General features: G+C 40.4%; 1 long non-coding RNA gene across 1 annotated transcript in view; it reads left to right on the forward strand.

Moving 5' to 3' along the window:
• LOC105375302 (uncharacterized) overlaps positions 1-27,064 on the forward strand; it is a 45,033-nt gene extending 17,969 nt beyond the window's left edge. Inside the window, exons 2-3 of the long non-coding RNA XR_001745217.1 lie at positions 15,326-15,430; positions 26,833-27,064. This is a non-coding gene — a long non-coding RNA (uncharacterized LOC105375302). The remainder of the gene's footprint in view (positions 1-15,325; positions 15,431-26,832) is intronic.
• Positions 27,065-27,508: the final 444 nt, after the last annotated feature.

Consider the following 27,508-nt stretch of genomic DNA (forward strand, 5'->3'; position numbering starts at 1 on the left):
GATTCTCCCACCTCAACCTTCCAAGTAGCTAGGATTACAGGTGCATGCCATCATGCCTGCCTAATTTTTGTATTTTCAGTAGAGACAGGGTTTCACCATGTTGGCTAAACTGGTCTCGAACTTCTGACCCCAAGTGATCTGCCTGCCTTGGCCTCCCAAATTGCTGACATAGGCATGAGACTCCTTGCCTGGACTTCCCTCCTTTTCCTTCAGGGATTTTAAATGTTTTCTTTCCTCCATCTATTTAATTATATGTGATTGCCTTGAGGATTTCAGCTTGAATTAAAATTACATATATTTACCTGTCTTTATTAATATTTAAACATATTAAAATAATACATGTTCATAATGAAAATGAAACATTACAAATAAATACACAGGAAAGGCACGATTCCTCCTCCAGTTCCACTCTTGAAATAACCAGTTAACAAGATGATGAGCATCTTTCCATGATGTTCTCCAAGATTCATATAAGTATTGCCCAGCAAACAACAGAATATACAGGCCAGGCATGGTGGCTCATGCCTGTAATCCCAGCACTTTGGGAGACTGAAGCTGGTGGATCTTTTGAGATTAGGAATTCGAGACTAACCTGGCCAACATGGTGAAACCCCATTGCTACAAAAAATACAAAAATTATTTGGGCACGGTGGAGAGCGCCTTAATCCCAGCTACTTGGGGGGCAGAGGCACGAGAATCTCTCGAACCTGGGAGGAGAAGGTTGCAGTGAGCCAATATCGCATTACTGCACTCCAACCTGGATGACAGACTGAGCTTCCATCTCAATAAATAAGTAAATACATAAAATAAAGAGAAAAAAGAAAGAAAGAAGAAAGAAAAAGAAAGAAAGAAGAAAGGAAAAGAAAGAAAGAAGAAAGAAAAAGAAAGAAAGAGAAAGAAAAAAGAGAAAGGAAGAAAGAAAGAAAAAGAGAGAAGTAGTGTGCTCAGGTTGCTAAGATCGATAGTAAGAAATCCTCTAGTGGTGAAAATGTTAAGAAGGGAAAAGAAATTTCTGTTAGTCTAGTTTGTTGCACCCCAAGCTCTAAAAAGTACAGCCACGTGTGTGATAAGTGCTTAGTTAAGATGAAAAAGGCATTAAATTTGTGCGTGGAAATCATAAACAGAAATGTGTTCTGATTGACAGCAATTGGGTCAATGCTACCCAAGTTTCAGGCATCCACTGTGGGTCTTAGAACACGTCTCCTGCAGATAAGGGAGGGCTACTATATAACGTTTCTTTCTTTTTTCTTTAATTATAAAGCATTCTCCTTTTTTAGTATAACAGTTGGCCACATATATCACTTTAGGTATAAAGATATTAGGATACCTTTATAGTAGATAAAAAGCTAACTCATTCTTTGTAAGAGTTAAAGTATCTTTCATTATATGAGCATTTAAGATATTAAAGTACTTTTGCCACAAAAAATAGTGCTTCTATAAATATTCTTTTACTTATATGTTTATTAATTTTTACTTCTGCTGAAACAAATTGCATGAGGAAACAAGTGTATGTGTATAAAGTGTAATATATGTATATATATTTAACATGTGTCTATACAACTTCATATATACACATACATACAATAACATATACAATTTTTTTGTTTTGTTTTTTGAGATGGAGTTTTGGTCTCTCATCCTGTCTGGAGTGCGGTGGCATGATCTTGGCTCACTGCAACTTCCACTGCTTGTTTCAAGTGATTCTCCTGCCTCAGCCTCCTGAATAGCTGGGAATACAGGCATCTGCCACCATGTCCAGCTAACTTTGTTTTTTTAGTGGAGATGGGTTTTCACCATGTAGGCCAGGCTGCTCTCAAACTCATGACTTCAAGTGATCCGCCCACCTTGACCTCCCAAAATGCTGGAATTACAGGTGTGAGCCACCATGCCCGGCCTAACATATACAATTTAATGTATATACAAATATAGGTTGGGTGCAGTGGCTCACTCCTGTAGTCCTAGCACTTTGGGGAGCTGAGGTAGGGGATTGTTTGAACCCAGGAGTTTGAAATCAGCCTGGGCAACATGGTGAAACCCTATCTGTACAAAAAACACAAAAATTAGCTGGGTGTACTTGCAGGTGCCTGTGGTCCCAGCTACTCAGGAGACTGAGGTGGGAGGATAGCTGGAGCCTGGGAGGTCGAGGCTGCAGTGAGTTATGATCATGCCACTGCACCCCAGTGTGGGTGACAGAGTGAGACCCTATCTCAGACAAAAACAAAAACAAACCAAATATAATCTTTATGTGAGACACACTTGATTTCTTTCCAAACGGTTATATAACACTGTACTTTCACCAGCAATATATGTGACTACTCATTTCCTACATATTATCACTTGTGTGCAATCAAGGAAACTTAGTAGGCCTGAATTGCCCAAACCTGGCATACTCCAAAGAAAAGTTTGACTCTATCCTAGTTCCCAGGAAATAACCTCTAAGTCCTTGGAATCTCCTGCCTATCTGGGAGTTAACAACGTGATTTATTATGGGGACCTTGGACCATGCAGTGTCAGCTTGACCTTGGGAAGGGTGGAGACAGAGAAACTAAGGTCAACCAAATGGGTGCTCTTGTCCATGTGACCAAACTCCAGTAAAATGCTCAACACCAAGGCTCAGGTAAGGTTTTTGTTGGGGAGTATATTCTGTACTTTTCGTCACATATCTCTGGGTGAATTAAGCACTGTCCACACGATGTCACTGGGAGAGGACAACCAGAAGCTTGTGCTTTGTCTCTCCTGGACTCTGCCCTATGCACCTTTTTCTGCTGCTGATTTTAGTCTATATCTTTTTGTTGTAATAAACTATGAGTATAACAGCTTCACTCAGTTTTGTGAGTCTTTCTAATTAATCACTAAACTTTGGGACCTCAGAACACAATGTTGTTTCTTCTTTAATTGAATTTTCCATGTTATGTAAGAAACCTATGTGCATAATTGAAAATTCACAAACTAAGAAAGAGCTTTCCATGCAGTCTACTCCCCCACCCTGTTTCTCCAATGCTCCCAGGTATACTTCCTGAATAATCAAATGTTTAAATTTTCTAAACCATTTCTAATCTATATATCTGAGTGCTTATCTCTATATTATATAATAGGTAGATCCTGCTCCTTCTCAATATATCAACTTGATATATTACCTGATGGCTTCCTGTTCTGATAGCTGATGACTTGGCTGACACTCACCCCTTACCCCAGTGCCTGGACCACTTTTCAAACATGGTGCTCTCACCATTTTCTTTTTCTTTTCTTTTTTTTTTTTTTTTGAGACAGAATATTGCTCTGTCACCCAGTCTAGAGTGCAGTGGCATGATCTGGGCTCACTGCAACCTCCATCTCCCAGATTCAAGTGATTCTCCTGCCTCAGCCTCCAGAGTAGCTGGGATCACAGGGGCACACCACCATGCCCGGCTAATTTTTGTATTTTTAGTAGAGATGGGGTTTCACCCTCTCAGCCAGGTTGGTCTCGAATGCCAGACCCCATGATCCACCCATCTCGGCCTCCCAAAGTGCTGGGACCGCACCCAGCCACTCTCACTATTTTCAATGGCTCTCTTGGTCACCTTTCACTTGGGAGAGTAGCTGAGGCAGGAGAATCACTTGAACCCGGGAGGTGGAGGTTGCAATGAGCTGAGACGGTGCCATTGCATTGCAGCCTGGGCAACAAGAGTGAAACTCTGTCTAAATAAATAAATAAATAATAAATAAATAAATAAATAAATAAATAAATAAAACAGAAAAGGAAAGAAAAGAAGCTCTCCCTCCATATACCTGTAAGGATCATTGTCTTAATTTTCTTCATGTCTTAACATGATTCTTGCCTTGTCAGAGATCATCCTATCTGAAATTGAATCTATTTACCACTTCCCTTTTTTTTCCATAGCACTTAAAACTTTTTTTTTTTTTTTTTGAGATGGAGTCTCACTCTGTGACCCAGGCTGGAGTGCATTGGTGTGATCTCGGCTCACTGCAACCTCCTCCTCCCATGTTCTAGTGGTTCCCCTGCCTCAGCCTCCCAAGTAGCTGGGATTACAGGCATCTGCCACCACACCTGGCTAACATTTTTTTTTTTTTGTATTTTAGTAGAAATGGGGTTTCACCATGTTGGCCAGGCTGGTCTTGAACTCCTTATCTCCGGTGACCCAAACCACCTCAGACTCCCAAAGTGTTGGGATTACAGGGGTGAGCCACCACACCCAGCCTTGGCTAATTTTTGTATTTTTAGTGGAAACAGGGTTTCACCATATTGGCCAGGCTGATCTCGAACCCCTGACCTCAAATGATCTCCCTGCCTCGGCCTCCCAAATTGTTGGGCTTACAGGCATGAGCCACTGTGCCCGGACTGCTTTTTGACAAATCATCTCTGTTCTTTTATTATGTCCCCTAGAATGTAAACTTGATGAGAGCAGGAGAATTGTCAATTTTGTTCAATGCTATTTATCCCTAGAGCCTAGAACTGTACCATGCACACGGTAAGGAGACAAATATTTGTTGAATGAATATATTGAGCAGCTGTTCTCAGACTTTTTGGTCTCAGAAATTCTTTACTCTCTGTTTCTTTACTCCTGACCTCAGGTGATCTGCCCACCTTGGCCTCCCAAAGTGCTAGGATTATAGGAGTGAGCCAAAACAACCAGCCACCCAACTAATTTTTGTATGGCAGTAGGCACGGGGTTTTGCCATGTTGGCCAGGCTGATCTTGAACTCCTGACCTCAAGTGATCCCCCACCTCAGCCTCCAAAAGTGCTGAGATTACAGGCGTGAGCCACTGCACCCGACTAAATATACCAAAAACTTTAGATAAGTGAATTTGGAGGAAATATTTATAACAGATAAAATGGACAAACAGATAATTCTAACTTACTGTCTCTCTGGCTTAATAAAATATTAGTCAATACGCTAAGAAGAAAGGAACGAAATCTAAAAATTAAGCATTCACAAACACAAATAGTCGGAAAACAAAGTCAAAACCTAAGGACTTGTTGACCACTTATCTCTCCTCTGAAATCAGCTCTTGAATGTGTTGAACTAGGTTTGACCTCGGATTAGGAAATTTTTTAAATATTTTTTAAATTTTCACTTTTTGGAATTTAAAATTAATCCAAATTATGTAATATACAACACTTGGAATTTACCAATCAATACTCTATCATTTTATTTTTCACTCTTCAAATAATTTCTTGTTCAAGAGTTTAAAACGCTTGTCCAAGAGTTTAAAATTAATAGATTCTGCATGCTATGGTCTGTAGAGACTGTCTCTACAAAAAATAACAATATATATACTTTAAAAATATATATAAAATATGTATTTATTTAAATGTATATGTTTTAAGTATATAAAATATGTTTTTAAAATTTCATTTTTTCACCGGATCGTATGGTAAGCGTATGTTTAGTCTGGCAGGAACTTGCAAAACTGCCTTCCACAGTGGCTGTCCCACTTTGCATTCTCAGCAGAAATAGAGATGAGTTCCTGTCGCTCCATGTCTTCACCAGCATTTGGTATTGGTGTTTGCATTCAAGCCAGTCTAAGGGATGTGTAATGGTATCACATCATTGTTTTAATTTGAATCCCCTAGTGACATATGGTGTTGGGCATCGTTTCAGAGGTCTAAGAAATGTGCTGGGCATGGTGGCACATGCCTGTGGTCCCAGCTACTCAGGAGGCTGAGGCGGGAGAGTTACTTGAGCCCTGGAGGTTGGGGCTGCATTGAGCCATGATTGCACCACTGCACTCCAGCCTGAGTGACAGAGCTAAACCCTGTCTCAAAAAGATAAATAAGGTCAGGCGCGGTGGCTCATGCATGTAATCCAAGCACTTTGGAAGGTCAAGGCGGTTGGATCACGAGGTCAGCAGATCAAGACCATCCTGGGTGACACAGTGAATACCCGTCTCAACTAAAAATACAAAAAATTAGCCAGGCATGGTGGCTGGTGCCTGTAATCCCAACTACTCAGGAGGCTGAGGCAGGAGAATCACTTGAACCTGGGAGGCGGAGGTTGCCATGAGCCGAGATCGGGCCATTGTGCTCCAGCCTGGGTGACAGAATGAGACTCCATCTCAAAAAATAAAAAAAAAGTAAATAAATAAATATCTGACCTAATTTTTAGAACAGTTGTAGGTGTACAGAAAAATAGAGCAGAAGGCATATTGAGCTCTAATATCCACCTCACACCATAGTACACACACTTCCTCTATTATCATCTTGTTAGTGTGGTAATTTGTTATGCTCGATGAGCCAATATTGATATTATTAAGTTCATGGCTAATATTAAGATTCACTCTCTGTGTTCTACCATTTATGGGCTTTGACAAATGCTTAAGGACATATATCCACCATTATAGGGTCACACAGAAAAGTTTCACTGCCCTAAAAATCTTCTGTGCTCCACCTATTCATCTTTCCCTCTGCTCAAGCCTCTGGCAACCACTGAACTTTTTATAATACCATCTGCCTAGTTTTGTCTTTTCTAGTATTCCATATAATTGGAACTCTATATTATGTGGCCTTTTTGTATTGGCTTCTTTCACTTAGAAATGCATGTTTAAGATTCCTCCATGTCTTTTCATGCCTTGTAGTTCATTTCTTTTTATTCCTGAAGAATATTCCATTGCATGAATGTTTCAGAGTTAGTTTATCCATTTCTCTATTGTAGGATATCTTGGTTACTTCCAATCTTTGTCAGTTGTGTATAAGCTGCTGTAAATATTCATGTGCAGGATTTGAGTGGATATAAGTTTTCAAATATTTGGGTATATACCAAAGAATGCAATTGCCAGATCGTATTTAAACATACAAGGATGCAGATGCCATACACACAAATATGTATGTATATGTCATGCTCATATACAATTTTAAATACATATATGTATTCTATGGATATGTAAGTATTTCTCTATTTTCACAGAAATGTCACTCTAAATCAGTACCTAAGAAGGATCATCATTTTCTTAATCTACAAATCAAGACACAGTATGAGTGGCTGCACCCTAGTTTAGTAAATCCTCTATTATTGAGGATGTTTTCCTGTTTCCTTTGTCATTGTTGTTGTTGTTTTGTTTTGAGACAGAGTTTCACTCTTTTGAGTCAAGTGGTGTGATCTCATCTCACTGTAGCCTCCCGAGTAGCTGGGATTATAGAGTAGCTGGGATTATAGGTGCCCACCATCATGCCCAGCTAATTTTTGTATTTTTAGTAGAGATGGGGTTTTACCATGTTGACCAGCTCCTGACCGCAGGTGATCCGTCCACATCAGCCTCCCAAAATGCTGAGATTACAGGCGTGAGCCACAATGCTTGGCTGCTTTCATCATTTCAGACTGAGCTTGGAGAAGAATCTGAGGAAAAACATGACTTTAAAATTTTGATGAATGGAGAAATCTCTTTCCATTCACCTTCCTTTCCTCTATTTCATTCTTATTTTAAAATATACAAACAAAGATATGGATACATCAGTTATTAAATAAACATCTGTGTGATACCTATCCATGTGAAGAAATAGAGCACTATCACCACCGAGAAGTCATCTGTATGCCCCTAACTGATCCTAAAGTCTTCCTTCCCCTTATTAGTAACAGATATAACAGATATCCACATTACCTGTGGATATCTGCCATCCTCTCCTTGGTTATCTTTATAATTTTATTATGTATTTTATATCTTTTTTTTTTGGGGGGGGGAATGGAGCCTCACTCTGTCACCCAGGCTGGAGTGTAGTGGCATGATCTTGACTCACTGCAACCTCCGCCTCCCAGATTCAAGCGATTCTCATGTTTCAACTTCCCAAGTAGCTGGGATTACAGGCATGGGCCATGTGCCACCATGCCTGGATAATTTTTGTATTTGTACTAGAGATGGGGTTTTGCATGTTGGTCAGGCTGGTTTAGAACTCCTGACCTCAGTGCCTGGCCTTATTATGCATTTTTTATATGCCTAAAGTAAAGTCTGATTTTGCCTGGTTTTTCTCTTACATAATTGGAGTAAAAGTCTGTATCCTGGTGCATCTGGCCCCTTTTACTCAATATTAAGTATCTAAGAGTCACACTTAGCATTGTTTCTGCATTCTATTAAAACAGTACACCAGCCAGGCAGGATGGCTCATGCCTATAATCCCAGCACTTTGGGAGGCCGAGGCAGGCAGATCACTTGAGATCAGGAGTTCCAGACTACCCTAGCCAACATGGTGAAACTCCATCTCTATTAAAACTACAAAAATTAGGCCATGTGGTGGCTAATGACTGTAATCTCAGCACTTTGGGAGGCCAAGGCAGGTGGACCACGAGGTCAGGAGATGGAGACAATCCTGGCGAACATGGTGAAACCACATCTCTACTAAAAATACAAAAAATTAACCAGGCATGGTGACACATGCCTCTAGTCTCAGCTGTTCAGGAGACTGAGGCTGGAGAATCACTTGAATCTGGGAGGCAGAAGTTGCAGTGAGCCGAGTTTGCACCACTGCACTCCAGCCTGGGTGACAGAACTAGACTCTGTTTAAAAAAAAAAAATTAGCCAGCTGTGGTGGTGTGTGCCTGTAATCCCAATTATTTGAGAGGCTAAGGCAGGAGAATCAGTTGAACCTGGGAGGTGGTGGAGGTTGCAGTGAGCCAAGATCGCGCCCTTGTACTCCAACCTGGGCAATAGAGTGACAGTCTCAAAAAAAAAAAAAAAAAAAAAAAAAGCCCAGGCGCAGTGCCTGCCACCTGTAATCCCAGCACTTGGGGAGTCCGAGATAGGTGGATCACCTCAGGACAGGAGTTTGAGACTGGCCTTACCAACAAGGTGAAACCCCATCTCTGCTAGAAATACAAAAATTTACCAGGAGTGGCAGCACGCACCTGTAATCCCAGCTAGTGGGGAGGCTGAGACAGGCGAATTGCTTGAACCCGGGAGGCGGAGGTTGCAGTGAGCCGAGATCGCACCACTGCACTGCACTCCAACCTGGGCGACTAAGCAAGACTCTGTCTCAAAAAATATATATAAATTTATATTTATATACATAAAAGAAGTATAAAAAAATAAAAATAAATAAAAATTGGACCAGTGTGTATCCCTTCATTGTTGGTGGACATGTGGGTTGTGTTCATTTTTGTCAGTTACAAATGATGTTGTTGTGAACATGTTTGTATTTCCATTTGGTTACCATTAGTGTGTATTTATGTATAGTATAAAGCAAGAGGTGAAACCATAGGTTACAGGGTAAACATATCTTCAGTTTTACTAGGTATTATTGGTTTCATCCCAATGTTAACACACCAACTGACAGTCTTACAATGTCTGATAATTCCCTAATCTTTGCATTCTTCTTGACACTTAATTTCGTCAAAATTTTAATTTGAGTCTTTTGGTGGGTATGTGGCAATGATTGTGATATTAATTTACTGTGCCTTTTCTTCTCTGTAACAGGCCCTGTCAAGATATATGTGTGGTGTGGCAGTGGTAGGAGCCCCTAGAGGTAGCATGGGCTTTGTAATCCTTAATCATCCTATGTGAAAAAGTTGGTGGCACAGTTAATTTTTTTTTTTTTTTTTTGAGAGAGAGTTTCACTCTTGTTGCCCAGGCTGGAGTGCAATGGCACTATCTCAGTTCACTGCAACCTCTGCCTCCCAAGTTCAAGTGATTCTCCTGCCTCAGTCTCTCAAGTAGCTGGGATTAGAAGCATGTGACACCACACCCAGCTAATTTTTTGTATTTAGTAGAGATGCGGTTTCACCATGTTTGTCAGGCTGGTCTTGAACTCCTGACCTCAGGTGATCCACCTGCCTCAGCCTCCTAAAGTGCTGGGATTACAGGCATGCACCACTGCACCCTAATATTTCCTGTGTACAATGGTGTAGCCAGGGTGCAAAGCCAGTTCTTAATGATTCTGTCATCCAAATATTATATCTTCTCAATTCCCCTTGAGATATGCTCATTCCTCCATACAATTAAACAATCTCAATTACTCTTGAAGGAGCATAAAATCCTCCCTGTCTAATCATGGGTACTTCCAAATTATTTGTTGACTTTTGTTTAAAATATAAAAAAGAGAACATAGATTTTGTTTTCTTCTTTCTGCTTAACCTGAACAAAATGTCATAGGTACCTCCTAGCCTGTTGCTAAACCAAGGAGAGTCACTTGAGTAATGAACAAGACTGGAGGGAAACTACATGGATAATTTATCATTACACTATCATCACATACATGGAACTCATTAATGAAGCTTATGAAAAAAATTGAGTCATTTGTGGAAAAGTGTAAAGAGAATATACGAGATGTCTCAAGTGAAGAGAAAAAAGCTGCAGAAAATAATTACAAAAAAAGAGTGTGAAGATGTAAACACAAATTCAGAGATTCTGGAGCATGAAGGGCTAAGTTAAGAGAAAAAAGAGTTATCAATATTTTCTTATTCATTATGGAGAGCAGGATGAATTCTTAAAAGGTCAGATAATTGTGAGTCTGATATATCTGATGATAATTTGTATTTTTTATTTCTAATGTTGTAAATGGTTGTTAATTCAAAGTCATTATTCCTATTTCCTTTAGACTAGTGACCATGAGTTTGACTGACAAAAATCCACTGGGTTAGTATTGTTATCTATGTGTGTTCATCACGTTATGTGTTAAAATAAATCCATCAATTTTTATCTTGTGTTCGTTTTCATTTTAGTTTAGTTTCTTTGGGACAGGGTCTCACTCTGTCACCCAGGCTGGAAGTGCGGTGGCATGATCACAGCTCACTGCAGCCTCTACATCTCCAGGCTCAGGTGATCCTCCTACCTCAGCCTCCCAAGTAGCAGGGACTACAGGCATGAGCCACCACACCTGGCTAATTTTTGTATTTTTTGTAGAGACGGGGTTTTGATATGTTGCTCAGGCTGGTCTCAAACTCTTGGACTCAAGTGATCTGCCCACCTCAGCCTCCCAAATTGCTGGGATGACTGGCATGCACCACTGTCCCAGCCTGTTTTCATTTTATTAATTGGCTGATTCATTCAGACACATAATTATCAAGTCAAATCTCACTCTTTCCTTAGCATTTCCCTACAGTTTAGCTGAGAAAATCTATTCCTATTTTAAAACATATACGATTATTCTAGTGTGGTGGCACATGCCTGTAATCCCAGCTACTCAGGAGGCTGAGGCAGGAGTATCATTTGAACCCGGGAGTGATATAGTGATTATATATAGTATATAACTATATAGTGATTATAGTTTATAATTTTAACTATATCATGTCTCCTGCCTCATAAGTACCACTGGACAAGGTCCCTTTTATGTACTCAGCTTCTGTTAGAGGTAAATGTATTTTGAAGTGGAGAACAAAGATAAGTGCAAAATTGGAATGGAGAACTAAGGTAATTATGAAAGTTCCAGATATGAAGAGAGAGGGCTCAATATGCCAGCAGTTCTCTACCAATCCATCCTAGTGGTCTTTTTTTAGGATTGCCTAAATAATGCAGGAGATGGGTGCAAGACACACAAGTGTTCCAGAAGCATGTAAACAAGGTACAGAGAAGAGGATAAGATAAAATAAGATGAGATAAGAATATTAGGAATGCCTTGTTCAGAAGATTGCCTACAGAGGCAAAAGGGACAGTTTCATTTTGCTGAGGGAAACAGGGTGGTAAGAACCCTCCTGGGGAAGACCCCCACTTACCCTGATACAGAAAGAAGGTGTAAAATATCATAATGGGAGAGCATTAGGCTGAGATAGCTCCCATGGCCAGGGTTCCTACATAGACAAAATGAAACAAGCTTAGCCCATCAGCAAGTGGCCCGCTGAGTATTAGCTGTGTAATGAGAGACCTACCACCAGGATAGTTCAAATAATGCAACTGCCCAAATTTTTGCCAACCAAATAATTTCTCTACTCTACTTCTATATTCACCCTATAAAAGCCTTCCTTACAAACACCTCCAGTAGATCCTTCAACCACTTTCAGTTTGGAGCTGCCTGATCCATGAATCTCTGTTTGCTCAAATAAACTCTTTAAAAATTTAATATGCTTAAGTTTATCTATTTTTTTCTCATTTTTAAAAATTGAGATGGATCTTCCTATGTTGTCCAGGCTGGTCTTAAACTCCTGAACCCAAGGGATCCTCCTGCCTCAGCCTCCTGAGTAGCTGGAATTATAGACATGTGCCTCCACACCCAGCTTACATTTATCTTTAAACAAGGTTTTGACCCCTTTCTGAAATATATTTCTGTGAAGACCTGTACCCTCAGTGATATGGCAGGCTCATTTTAGACCATTGAGCACTTTTGTCTCTGGACCACAATTTGCCCTTTGTGACCTGCTCTCCTAAGAAATTCAAGTGTAACTCAAGTTAGTTTACCCTCTGCTGATCAGGGGAGATTGCTCTCGGTGCAAGTTCAAGACAGGCACTCACACCTTCATTCATACCCCAAATCTCAGCATCACACAATACACCCATGTAATAAACCTGCACAGGTACCCTCCGGAATCTAAAATGAAAGTTGAAATTCATTAAAATTTTAATTTCATCTTATTACAAAACAAAGATAAATTTACTTCTTTCCAATTTTGATATATATATTATACTGACATACACACTGTATTCTATGGTGAATTATACTGATTGAATTTCACATTTTAAACTAACACTGAATTACTGTGAAAAACTCTATTGGGTCATAATGTATTATGTTTTTAATATATTTTAATACAATTTGCAAAAATTTTGTTTTAAAATTACATCTATGTTCCATAAATAAATAAATATGTAAAAATAATAAGTGTATTATTCAAGTGAAGATTATAGCGATCTTTTTGAATATCTACTTAACCTCAACTAGTTTTAATTCAGAAGTAGCAACTCCATAGAAATTCAACTTATTACTACCTTATTACTCATACTTGTCTCCTTGAAGAAGCTTCATTGCTATCACACAGTTTAGACTGGGATGTCATAAATCTCTAGACTGAGTAGTATAATATTCATGGTTCAAATAAGATCAAATTATTATTACAATGTTATGACACATCCAAATACAAAAAGCAAGCCCATGGATGTCAGGTTAAGGTATAGAGACAAATATTTCTACTTACTATCTTTTAGGGCAGACATATCCCAGCCAAGCTGATTGCAAAATGAAATGGAAACCATATGGTGGAAGGGGACTTAGGACTCACACAGATTGTATTTTCATTCCAACCCTTACATACACAAGCTGCATGACTCTGGGTAGATTGCATATTCTCTTAGAGTTTCAATTTCCTCATCTGTGCAATGGCAGTTAATGCCTATGGGCTATGGTTGATGTGGGGATAAAAGAACCAACACGGATGCATGGGCAGGGCCTGGTCCATAGAGCAACTGGCATCAATAAATGGAAGCCCCTTCCCATCTTGTCTTTGTGTGCACTACAAAATCCAGAATATGTGGGTATAAAAAGTACTCTTAAAAGAGACATAATTGGAAACTTTTGCAAAAAGAGATTGGAAAGTTGTCACATCTTGTGGCATGAGGAGTTGTGGGCATACATTTGAACTTTGTGCTGTGAGATATCCACAGAACTTCAGTAGCTTAAGAGAACAGTTTAGATGTCATCTTATTCATCTACCATAGAACTTCCTCTTCTTCTCTGAGATTTCTAGACAGTAACTTTTACAGCTCTAATAATGCAGTTCTCTCCCAATTGTTTGGACTATTCTAATAGATACAAAGCAGTATTTCACCAGAAGATGCTACTGCAGTTTGTATGATGATTTCAAACTGAGAATCCATTTAAAGTTATGCAATACTTTTTTTGGAAATAGGGTGAAAGTAGTTTAAGTTCAAAATCCTATAAAATAGGTTTACAGTAAAAAATTACTTGTTGCAATATCTATCATACTATCTTATATTCACATATGTATTGGTGTCCTAATACATATGTATGAGAGTGAAAAATTACCTGAGGTCAGAGACTGTGCCATATGTTCCCTGCACCACTGGTGCCTATCTCAGCACATGGTATACAGTAGATGCTCAATAAATACTTTCACTTAAAAAACACACTAAGAATAAATATTATTAGACATCAAAATACATATGAGTACAATCTAGGGACATGGTCAGGAGCTCAAAATTCAATCTTATTTATTTTTTATTTGGAGACAGAATCTCACCTGTTGCCCAGGCTGGAGTTCAGTGGCATGATCTCAGCTTACTGCAACCTTCCTCTACTGGGTTCAAGTGATTCTCCTGCCTCAGCCTCCAGAGTAGCTGGGATTACAGGTGCACACCAACATGCCTGGCTAATTTTTTTGTATTTTTAGTAGGGTTTCACCATGTTGGTCAGGCTGGTCTCAAACTCCTGAGCTCAGGCAATCTGCCCACCTTGGTCTCCCAAAATGCTGGGATTACAGGTGTCAGCCACCACTCACAGCCACAAAATGTTTTAAAGTAGCTTCAAAGCCCATTTGCAAATAGATGTATTCATAACAAGATGCAAACAAGAAAACATTGAGCTTTATATAATAGAAGGGTTCTGCCTGGATTTGCATGTGGCCCCATCATTTGTTTGCTGTTGGGCCATGGTCAGGTTACTTAGCTGCTCTCTGCCTCCACATAGGCTTTATGCCTGTGCATCCCTCATCTACAAAATGGGAATAATAAGAATATCTCACAATTAGAAGTGGAGAAAATGTATGTAAAGGCCTTTGAAAAGAGCTTGTGAAAGCTCAATAATTGTCCTCAATAATTGCTCTCAATAATTGTCAGCTATCATTCAATAATAATCATAATCATAAAAATGTATGACTCAAAGAAAGATTCTGACTTCATATCCAGCTTCCCAAAATAGTCAGACACTGGACCTGTGAAAGGAATGACATTGAGATGTATTTTCACATTGCTAAGTTGGTTTTTTCTTTGCCATTCAATTTCTGCAGTCCCTACTCTAAGCCCATGGTCCACATTTTTATCTTTCCTCCTAAGATGTCTTCCCTTCTTGTAAGATTTACTTTTCCTTAAAAAGGGCCCTTTTCATCCACCCACTCTTTTGCCCTTCCCAGAAGTTGGTTAATGGGCACAAAAATACAGTTAGATGGAAGGAACAGAAGAATTTCTAGTGCTCAATAACACAGTAGGGTGACGATCATTAACAATAACATATATTTCAAAATGACTACAGGAAAGATGTGGAATGTCCTCAACACAAATAAATGATAAATGTTTGAGGTGATGGATATGCAAATTATCCTGATTTGATCACTACACAGTGTATGCACGTATGAAAATATCACACGTACCCTAGAAATATGTATAATTGCCATGTATCAATAAAAATAAAAGGGCCTATTTCTCTTTCCTTCCTCCCTGCATTCCCTCCTGTCCCAGATATGTGTTGTTCCTGGTGCTCTCCTGTCCCTCTTTCAGCCAGCACTGAGCCAGCAGGAAGGATCTCACAGGTCATATCCTGAGATCAACCCTCCACCTCTTCAGGTAATAATAGTCCTCTTGCTTTTAGTCATTTATATCCTTTGGTTCATAGATATTTTGAGTCAAGTGCCTTCTAACCACTGATCTACATAATATTCCTTGGTTTTTAAAGATAATACAAAGTGAATTTTAGTAACAATCTTGAGTCATCACAGAAGCTAATGAAGTTGGGGATTCCACGAAGCCATCCAAGCATATAGAGCCCATTTCCCTGGGTCCCTTTTCCTTAGCTCAAGGCCACAAAAAATCAGAACTTGAATTCCAGCCCACATTTGCATTATGTCTAAATGATTATGAGTTATAAATGAAGCTAACAAATAATTAAATATGTTCTATTCTCCTACTTCGATAAATGTACTGCCATAATAACCCACAAGGTCAAAGTCAAGTGTAGAATTCTCTGATTTCTTGGTGCTCTGCACAGGAATGTCGTAGTAAAGGGAGAGCCGATCCTCAGCCCCAGGCTAAACTTTTTTCTTTCATCGTAGGTAACCCTGTCCGCACTTGAGAAGCTTTGCGTACCCCTGTGTGGGGGACTCCCTAGGCCCCATGCAAGCTCCATCCACAATTCTCACCCCTTCAGACAGCAGAGCCTTGGGCACCATTTGGACAAGCACAGTTTGCGCTTTGAAATGGACCCAGGGAAGAGGCCATGCAGGCTCAGGCACATTTCGCCAGGGCCCTGAGTGCCCAGCGTGTGCCCTAGAAGAGAGGGTGAGAGCTCTGGGTGGGCCAGGGTACAGTCAGTGGAGGGCCAGAGAGGCACCTTCTAAAGTGCAGGATTCAGGGTAGGGTTCCTCTTGCCCAGATTGATGGCTACGATTGCTTAGTGCAATGGCGTCTGTGTCATGTCTTCTCAGCTCACCTTTCATTCAGTCTCAGCCACTGTGGGAAGTTCCATGGAAGCGCAGGCTTCCCTTGTGCTGCCAGCAAACTCAAGCTACACTTTCTGCCCTAGGGCATCTCCATTATTGTAGGATTTTGCCTGAGCACAAATACAGCCCAGAAGCACTTGCAGGTTAACAGCCTCAGGGGAAGACCTCAACCAGTGTGGGACAGGTGGACAAATGCTGCAGGCTCATGTTTCAGGTGGACAGTTCTGGATAACTTTCCGGAGCCTCTCGGAAGGTCCTGCAGAAAAAACTGCATGGCAGGAGCCTCAATAGCATGTCATTTTGGCTTTTCTTTCTTGCCTGGCTCACTCTTCCCACTTCTGACTCTTGCTTCTTGGAATCACTTCCCAAATAAACCACCCACACCCAAGTCCTTACTCCAGCTCTGCTTCTAGGGATACAGGCACACCTTGGAGATATTGCAGGTTTGGTTCTAGGTAACCACAATAAGGTGAATATCACAACAGCGCAAGTCACACGAAATTTTCTGCAAGTCACACAAAATTTTTTGCTTTCTGGTGCATATAAAAGTTATGTTGCCAGGCATGGTGGCTCATGCCTGTAATCCCAGCACATTGGGAGGCCGAGGCGGGTGCATCACCTGAGGTCAGAAGTTCGAGACCAGCCTGGCCAACATGGTGAAACCCTGTGTCTACCAGAAATACAGAAATGGTGGTGTGCACCTGTAGTCCCAGCTCCTCAGGAGGCTGGGGCAGGAGAATTTTTTGTACCTGGGAGGCAGAGTTTGCAGTGAGCCAAGATCACACCATTGCACTCCAACCTGGGCAACAGAGCCAGACTCCAACTCAAAAAAAAAAAAAAATAGTTATGTTTAAGCTACTGTAGTCAATTAAGTGTGCAATAGCATTATGTCTAAAATATTATGTATATACCTTACTTTGAAAATACGTGATTGCCAAAAAATGCTAACCATCATCTGGGCCTTCAGCAAGTCATCATCATTTTGCTGCTGGGTGGTCTTGTCTCAATGTTGATAGCTACTGACTGATCAGGGTGGTGGTTGCTGAGGGCTGGAGAGGGAGTGGCAATTTCTTAAAATAAGATGACAATGAATTTTATCGCATTAACTGACTCTTCCTTTCACAAAAGATTTCACTGTAGTGTGCTACGCAGTTTGGCAGCATTTTACCCACTGTAGAATTTATATCAAAATTGGAACCAATCCTCTCAAACCCTGCCATTCCTCTATCAACTAAGTTTATAGGATATTCTAAGTCCTTTGTTGTTCTTTCCACAATGTTCACAGCATTTTCACCAGGAGTAGATTCCATCCCAAGAAACCACTTTCTTTCCTCATTCATAATAAGCAACAATAATATATTATTTTATATATATTATATATGTATTATATAATCTAAATTATATATACCATATAACATCATATAATAATATATAATGTAATATATATTATATTATGTATTATTATAATGTAATATATATTATATTATGTATTATTATAATATAATATGTATTATAATATTATGTATTATATAAGCAAAAGTGATATCCCTTGGTTTTTAAAGATAATACAAAGTGGATTTTAGTAACAATCTTGAGTTGTCACAGAAGCTAAAGAAGTTGGGGATTCCATGAAGCCATCCAAGCATATAAATTCCATCTCCCTGGGTCCCTTTTCCTTAGCTCAAGGCCACAAAAAATCAGAACATGAATTCCAGCCCACATTTGCATTATGTCTAAATAATTATGAGTTATAAATGAAGCTAACAAATAGTTAAATGTGTTCTATTCTCCTACTTTGATAAATATACTGCCATAATCACCCACAAGGTCAAAGTCGAGTGTAGAATTCTCTGATTCCTTGGTGCCCTGCAGAGGAATGTCGTAGTAAAGGGAGAGCCGATCCTGAGCCCCAGGCTAAACTTTTTCCATCTAATTCCATTTATTTCCATTAAGATTGCAGCAATTTGGCTGGGTGTGGTGGTTCATGCCTGTAATCCCAGCACTTTGGGAGGCTGAGGCAGACGGATTATCTGCAGTTGGGAGTTTGAGACCACCCTAACCAACATGGTGAAACACCTTGTCTACTAAAAATACAAAATTAGCTGGATGCGGTGACACATGCCTATAATGCCAGCTACTCAAGAGGCTGAGGCAGGAGAATCACTTGAACCCAGGAGGCAGAGGTTGTGGTGAGCCGAGATCACGCCATTGCACTCCAGCCTGGGCAATAAAGCAAAACTCCATCTCAAAAAAAAAAAAAGATTGCAGCAATTCACTCACATCTTCAGGCTCCACTTGTAATTCTAGTTCTCTTGCTATCTTCACCACAACTGTGGTTACTTCCTCTGCTAAGGTCTTGAACCCCTCAAAGTCATTTATGAGGGTTGGAATCAACTTCTTCCAAACTCCTATTAATGCTGCTATTTTCACCTCCTCTGGTGAATCATGAATGTTCATAGTGGCATCTATCATAGTGAATCCTTTCCAGAAGGTTTCCAATTGACTTTGCCCAGATCCATCAAAGGAATCATGACCTATGGCAGTAACAGCCTTATAAAATATATTTCTCATATAATAAGGCTTGAAAGTCAAAATGATGCCTCAATCCATGGACTACAGAATAGATGTTGTGTTGGCAGGCATGAAACCAGCATGCGTTTCCCTGTACATCTCCATTAGACCTCTTTAGTCACCAGGTACATTGTCAAAAAGCTGAAGTATTTGAAATGAATCTTTTTTTCTGAGCTGTAGGTCTCAACAGTGGGATTAAAATACTCAGTAACCCATGCGGTAAACAGCTCTGATATCATCCAAGTGTTGTTGTTCCATTTATAGAGCATGGGTAGAGTAGATTTAGCATAATTCTTAAGAGGTGCCCTAGGATTTATGGAATAGCAAATGAGCATTGGCTTGTAACAAGAAAGTCAGCCTGTCCTTTAAATCTTTTTTTTTTTTTTCTTGATATAAGGTCTCAATCCATTGCACAGGCTGGATTGCAGTGGCATGATCTTGGCCCACTCCATACTTGACCTCCTTGGCCCCATAATCCTCCCACCTCAGCCTCCTGAGTAGCTGGGACTAGTAGCATGCACCACCATACATGGCTTATTTTTTTTTATTTAATTATTTTTTGTTAGAGACAGGGTTTCACCATGTTGCCCAGGCTGGTCTGAAGCTCCCAAGCTCAAGCCATTCTCCCACTTCAGCCTCATAGAGTGCTGGGATTACAGGCATGATCCACCCTGTCTGGCCTCTAAATTCATGTTATGGACACTCATTTTCATGGTTAAAATGTCCTGAATTGACTGTGGCCTGTTGGGAGGTGGGATGGAGGAAACTACTTATGGAAAATGAAGAAGAAAGGGAAGCACATCAGAAGGAAGAAAGTGTCATCAATTTTTACATCAAGAACTCCATGATAAAGAGAAAGTACAGGTGGCCTGTTATCATGGCTGACCATTGGACTGTAGACTGCACCTGCATCTACCAGGTTCTTCTGGATAGTCCCAGTTTTAAATTTTTGACCCGATATTCATGAACACAGTGCTACTGGTCAGAACTTTGTCCAGGTTTAAGCTTCAGAACATAATGTCTTCATGCATTGGGAGGCCTGGTTATGGTTATGATTCTGCCCTGGGGCATCTGCCCCTTCTGACCTGGAGGTAAACTTGGCATCTACTACTTACCTCCACAATTGAACAGCCAAGGATGGGCTGAGCACAGAGGCTCACATCTGTAACTCCAGCACTTTGGGAGGCCAAGGCAGGAGGATCACTTAAGGCCAGGAGTTCAAGACCAGCCTGGGCAATATAGTGAGATCTCGTCTCTGTAAAAACAAACAAACAAAACTGAGGATGGGTGGGTGACAGGGAGCAGTTCAACATGGGAAACCATTAATCTGAGAGGTGGAAGGACCCTTAGACCAGCCCCCCATTAACAGATGAGACTCTGCCCTGAGATTATAGCCTAAGGTAATGCATTGAGCTTTTCTAGAGATTTGAAAATAATCAATCCTAAAACCCCCAAGCATACTGCTACTGTTTGCTATTGAATAATGTTTTCTAGTCTGGGTGTGGTGGCTCCTGCCTGTAATCTCAACACTTTGGAAGGTTGAGGCAAGTGGATCACCTGAGGTCAGGAGTTCAAGACCAGCCTGGCCAACATGGTGAATCCCCATCTCTACAAAAATACAAAAAATTAGCAGGCCATCTTGGTGCATGCCGGTAATCCCAGCTGCTTGGGAGGCTGAGGCAGGAGAATCCTTTGAACCTGGGAGGCAGAGGTTGCAGTGAGCTGAGATCACACCATCACACTCCAGCCTGGGCTACAAGAGTCAAATTCCATCTCAAAAATAATAATGATAATAATAATGTTTTCTACAAGAAAGGAGTTACTTTGTACTGTGAACTGATGTGAAGGGACCCGCCATGTGTAAGCTTTTGGATTGATGACAGTTATTTCTAGATTACAGAGGTGGGAATGCTTGTTGATCATCTTCTATGTTCTTTGTTATATTGATTGATTTTTTAAAATTAGCATTTTTATAACAATAAAGTCATAAAAATAAGTAACTAAAATAAAGTAGTCTAAAAGGCCGAGCATGGTGGCTCATGCATATAATCCCAGCACTTTGGGAGGCCGAGGTGGGTGGATCCCCTGAGGTCAGGAGTTCGAGAGCAGCCTGGCCAACATGGTGAAACCCCATCTCTACTGAAAATACAAAAATTAGCCGGGTGTGGTGGCAGGCACCTGTAATCCCAGCTACTTGGGACATTGAGGCAGGAGAATCACTTGAACCCAGGAGAAGGTGCTTGCAGTAAGCTGAGATTGTGCCATTGCACTCCAGCCTGGGTGACAAGAGCTAAACTCCATCTCAAAACAAAACAAAACAAAAATCTAAATGTAATTGAGTTGAATATTTAAACTTTTAATTGACATTTCAAATTAGATTATAATTCCATTTAAAAGAGCATCTCATAGAAGCAAATGTACTCAATTATATTAACTCTGTGGTATCATTTAAGCAATTCATTTTGTGAAGGGACACAAATCCAACCAGATTTTAACAGTGTATAAATATGTATTTATTAATTTAAGTACAACGACAATACTCTCAACTCCCCATTTGAATAAAGGAGAGCATCTGATCTGTGTTCTGGGACAGCGTGCACTATAGGTGTGTGGAAATACCGATGCCCTCAGCTGTGTGGCAGGCTCAGTGGGACCTGGAGTGCAGAAGCCCCTGGGCCATTCACCTCTGGCCACAAAAGTCATTGTCCATTTACCCCCAACTGCTATAGAAATACTATTTTCAGTGGTTGTTATGATGCAAAAGAAAAGAAGCAGGGAGATTTATTAAACTTTTACATATAAGATATGTTAGTAAATAAAGGCTACTTTCTTCTGGCTTAACTAAAAATCTATACTAGTATTTATGCCTTTTGGAAATTAGAGATGCCAATTTAAATATCATGAAGCAAAGCAACTGAGTATTAGGTAAGACAGACAAGTACAATTGCAGAATTGTAGAGCTTATGTGTTACATGTATAAGAATATTTCACAGCAATAATCTTTTAAGACTCTGTGAAGACACTCCACAGTGAAGCAGAAATTAGAACAGAATTAATAATACTGTGTATGCTCTTAGTTCACCAATTTATCAAAACTAGCTTTATGATTCAGGAGGGTGTCTGGCTCTTTTGCAATGGGAAGAAAAGAAATAATATTTTATTTTTTGACTCTTTAGATTTTCTTCACTAACAGTATTTCCAAGGCTAAGTAAGGGGGTTGCAAGTAACACCAAGAGAAAAAAGAAGTCTTGAGCAGCTTTTTAAAAATGGTCTTAAAATATGGAAAATGAAGCCAGGTGTGTTGGCTCACTCTTGTGATCCCAGCACTTTGGGAGCCTGAGATGGGAGGATTGCTTGAGGCCAAAAGTTTGAGACCAGCCTGGGCATCATAGCAAGATCCCCATCATTGCAAAAAATAATAATTTTTTAAAAAAATTAGCTGGATGTGGTGATGCATGCCTTAGAGTCCCAGTTATGTGGGAGGCTGAGGTAGGAGGAGCTCTTGAGCCCAGGAGTTCAAGTCTGAAGTGAGCTATGATTGCACCACTGTCCTCAAGCCTGGGCAACAAAGTGAGACCTCTCTCTCTCTCTCTCTCTCTCTCTCTCTATATATATATACATATATATATATATATATATATATGTGTGTGTGTGTGTGTGTGTGTGTGTGTGTGTGTGTGTGTGTGTGTATGAAAAGGGAAGGGGCCAAGTATATCAAAGACATTGAAGAAGAGGAAAGATTTGTCCTGCCAAATATCAGAACTTTTATAAAGCTACTGCAATTAAGACAGTGTGGTTCTCACTGATAAATTGACTAATGAAACAGGATAGAGAGTTCCCAAGCAAATCTCCACAAATTTAATCTTTGATATGTGATGTAGGTGAAATGGCAGATCAGCAAGGAAAGAAAGGGCTTTTCAATAAATAGAATAGAAAAATAATGGTTATCGATATAAGAAACAAAATGAAATTATATTCCTACTTCACTCTATATACAAACATTAAATTCCAGACGGACAAAAGACTTACATGTCAGAAACAAAACTTTAAACTTTTCGTAGAAAATGTAAGTGAATGAGACACAAAAAGCCATTTAACCATTAAAAAAGATTAGACATTTTGACTATCACAAAATCAAGAACTTTTTACATCAAAAAGTGGAAAGATAGGCTGGGCACAGTGTCTCAAGCCCGTCATCCCAACAGTACATCACCTGAGGTCAGGAGTTTGAGACCAGGCTGGCCAACGTGGTGAAACCCCATCTCTACTAAAAATACAAGAAATTAGCGGGGTATTAGTGGCAGACACCTGTAATCCCAACTACTTGGGAAGCTGAGGCACGAGAATGGTCTGAACCCGGGAAGTGGAGGTTGCAGTGAGCCACTGCACTCCAGCTTGAATGACAGAGTGAGACTCTGTCTCAAAAACAAAAAATAGAAATTAAAAAATAAAGTAAAATAGTGAAAAGATAAACTATGAATTAGAGAAGATATTTGCAGTAACTGAAACCTATGAAAGAGTTAATATCGTATCAACTAAGTATAAGGAGCTCCTATGAATTAATTTTAAAAATAGCAACCCAACAGAAAGTTGGGAAAAGACATTAATAGGGATTTCACAAAAGAGAAAGCCTGCAAAACATAAAAATTTTCTCAAGCTCATTAGTAATCAGGGAAATGCACAAGATACTACACATCTATTCTCTCCACAAATATTAAGAAGTTTGACAATACGAAATGTATTAGCCCATATTCACACTGCTGATAAAGACATAACCGAGACAGGGAAGAAAAAGAGGCTTAATTGGAGTAAGGGTTCCACATGGCTGAGGAGGCCTCAGAGTTATGGCGGTGGATGAACAACACTTCTTACATGTCAGTGGCAAGAGAATATGAGAAGGAGGAAAAAGAAGCAAAAGACGAAACCACTGATAAACCCATCAGATCTTGTGAGATTTACTCACTATCACAAGAATAGCATGGGAAAGACCGGCCCCAAAGATCCAACTACTTCCCCTGCTTCCCTCCCTGAACACATGGGAATCCTGAGCAATACAATTCAAGTTGAGATGTGGGTAGGGACATAGTCAAACCATATTATTCTGCTCCTGGCCCCTCCAAATCTCATGTCCTCACACTTCAAAACAGATCATGCCTTCCCAACAGTCCCTCAAAGTCTTAACTCATTTCAGCATTAACCCAAATGTCTGCTGTCCAAAGTCTCATCTGAGACAAGGCAAGTCTCTTCTGCCTATGACCCTGTAAAATCCAAATCAAGCTAGTTACTTCCTAGATACAATGGGGGTACAGGTAATTGAGTAAATACAGCTGTCCCAAATGGGAGAAATTTGCCAAAACAAAGGGGTTATAGGCCTCATGCAAGTCCAAAATCCAGCAAGGTAGTCAAATTTTAAAGCTCAAAATGATCTCCTTTGACTCCATGTTTCACATCAAGGTCATGCTGATGCAAGAGGCAGCCTCTCACAGCCTTGGGTAGTTCTGTCCCTGTGGCTTTGCAGGGTATAGCCCACCTCGTGGCTGTTTTCATGGGCTGATGTTGAGTTGGGCTGATGTTGAGTGTCCGCAGCTTTTCCAGGCTCATGGTGCAAGATGTTAGTGAATCTACCATTCTGGGGTCTGGAGGAGAGTGGCCCTCTCCTCACAGCTCCACTAGGAAGTGCCCCAGTAGGGACTCTGTGTAGGGGCTCCAACCCCACATTTCCCTTCTGCACAGCCCTAGCAGAGGTTCTCCATCAAAGCACCACCCCTGCAGTAAACTTCTGCTTGGACATCCAGGTGTATTCAAACATCCTCTGAAATCTAGGTGGAGGTTTCCAAACCTCAATTCTTGACTTCTATGCATGTGCAGGCTGAACACAACGTGGAAGGTGCCAAGGCTTGGTGCTTGCACTCTCAAGGCCATGGCCTGAGTTCTATGTTTTCCCCTTTCAGCCATGGCTGGAGGGGCTGAAACGCAGAGAAACAAGGCCCTAGGGTACACACCACACAGTGAACCTGGCCCAACCCAGAAATCCATTTTATCCTCCTAGGCCCCAGGCTTGTGATGGGAGGGGCTGCTGTGATGACCTATGACATGTCCTGTAGACATTTTCCCCATTGTTTTGGGGATTAACATTCAGCTTCTTGTTACTTATGCAAATTTCTGCAGAGAGCTTGAATTTATCCTCAGAAAATGGGATTTTCTTCTCTATCACATTGTCAGGCTGCAAATTTTCCAAAACCGTATGCTCTGCTTCCTTTACAAAACTGAAGGTCTTTAACGTCACCCAAGTCACCTCTTTAATGCTTTACTGCTTAGAAATTTCTTCCAGTAGATACTCTAAATTATCATTCTCAAGTTCAAAGTTCCACAAATCTCTAGGACAGGGGCAAAATGCTGCCATTCTCTTTGCTAAAACATAACGAGAGTCACCTTTGCTCCAGTTCAAAATAAGTCCCTCATCTCCATCTGAGACCACCTCGGCCTGGACCTTATTGTTCAAAACACTATCAGCATTTTTGTCAAAGCCATTCAGCAAGTCTCTAGGAGGTTCCAAATTTTCCCACATTTTCCAGTGTTCTTCTGAGCCCTACAAACTGTTCCAACCTCTGCCTGTTACCAAGTTTCAAAGTCGCTTGCACATTTTTGGGTATCTTTTCAGGAGCACCCCACTCCACTGGTATCAATTTACTGTATTAGTCTGTTTTCACACTGCTGATAAAGACATACCCAAGTCTGAGAAGAAAAAGAGGTGTAAAGAAAAAGAACTGTAATTGGATTTACAGTCCCACATGGTGGGGGAGGCCTCAGAGTCATGGCAGGAGGTAAAAGTCACTTCTTACATGGCAGCAGCAAGAGAAAATGAGGAGGAAGCCAAAGCAGAAACTCCTGATAAACCCATCAGATCTCATGAGACTTATTCACTATCATGAGAATAGCACAGGAAAGACTGGCCTCCGTGATCCAATTACCTCACCCTGGGTCCCTCCCATAACATGTGGGAATTCTGGGAGATAGAATTCAAGCTGGGATTTGGATGTGGACACAGCCAAACCATATCACCAAATATGGAGAGACTGTGGATCAACAAGATCATCTCGAACTAATACAGGAGGTGAGAGTTTAAATTAGAACAACCACTTTGGAAAGCAATTTGGATTCTTATAAACTTGAGCATTCTCATATGTTATGGCAAAGTAATTCCTCTACCATAGGCCCTGGAGAAACTCTTGCCCATATGTACAAGAAGTAGTAAAAAAAAAAAAAATGCTCATGTAATGCCATTCATAATAGCAAAAATCTGGAAATAAGCCAAATGTTCATTAATAGGAGAATGGGTAAATTAATAGGAGAATGGGTAAATAAATTATACCCTTAAAAACTAAATAATATGTCATTTAGGGTAATCATATGTATGCAATAAAACAATTTTTTTTTTAAAGGAAGAGAATCCTAAACATAAATTCAGGGTAGTAGTTACCCTCGGGCTGAAGGGTGAAAATCGGGAAAAAGGACAGAGGAGGAGATGTTAGGGTCAGAACCCTAGTTCTTTGGTTGTGTTGTAAGTTCACAAGTAATTACCATGTTGTTCAAATACATTTACACAGAGGCCCAGGCACAGACAAGGATGAAATGGAGCCAAGGTATGCTATGAGCCAAGGATTATGATTAATCCAATTTTGTGCACTTTAAGCCATTTGAAAAACAGAAAAGCAAAACAACAAAATAATTTTTAAGAAATTGAATATAGGGTGCTATGCTCTGAATGTGTCCCCCTAAAATTAATCACCAATGTCATAGGATTAGGAAGTAGGGCTTTTAGCTAGTGATTCAGTCATGAAGGGAGAGTCTTCACGAATGAGTTTAGGATCCTTACACAAGGACTGGAGGGAGTGGGCTTCCCCTGTTTTGCCCTTCCACCTTCTACCATGTGAGGACACAGTGCATTTCCTCCTGAAGACACAGTGCTCAAGATAGCATCTTGGATGCAGAGACCAGACCCTCACCAGACACCAATCCTGCTGGCACCTTGATCTTGGACTTCCAGCCTATGGAACTGTGAGAAATACATTTCTGTTCTTCAGAAATTACCCAACCTAGTGTATTTTCTTATATAGTAGCACAAACTCATTAAGGCACAATGCCTCTTGTCATTTTCTTCTACAATTTTCTTTGTTGCCTCTTTAGCACTGGGTCATTTTATATTTGATCCTTCATAATATGTCTTACTTTTGGTTTTTCACATTTCTGTTCCAAGTGTATTCTTAGATACATATTTTCCACTATTATTTAGCCTCAGGGGTTGCCTGGGAGTGTGTGTTTCTGTGCCACTGCAGTGGGACTCTGTGTGTGTGTGTGTCTCCCATTATCTCTTCTCTGTCTCTCACCCTCTGTGTGTTTCTTTCCCTCTCTCTATCGGTCTGCGTGTGTGTGTATGTGTTTGTGTGTGTATGCCCGTGTGCGTGTGTGTCTTTGGAAGAATGTGCTCTGTTCGCCAAAATGTGATTTTTTGCATGTCTCCCAGTCTTTGGTTAGCCTCTTTCTGTGTCTCTGCCTGGGTCCTGTGGCCGGTTGCCCATCATTTTCACGGTGGTTCCACTTTGGGTTTGTGAAGGCCTCGATCATGTGAGGAGAT

This window comes from Homo sapiens, chromosome 7 (genome assembly GCF_000001405.40).
Source record: "Homo sapiens chromosome 7, GRCh38.p14 Primary Assembly".
Classification (NCBI taxonomy): Eukaryota; Metazoa; Chordata; class Mammalia; order Primates; family Hominidae; genus Homo; species Homo sapiens.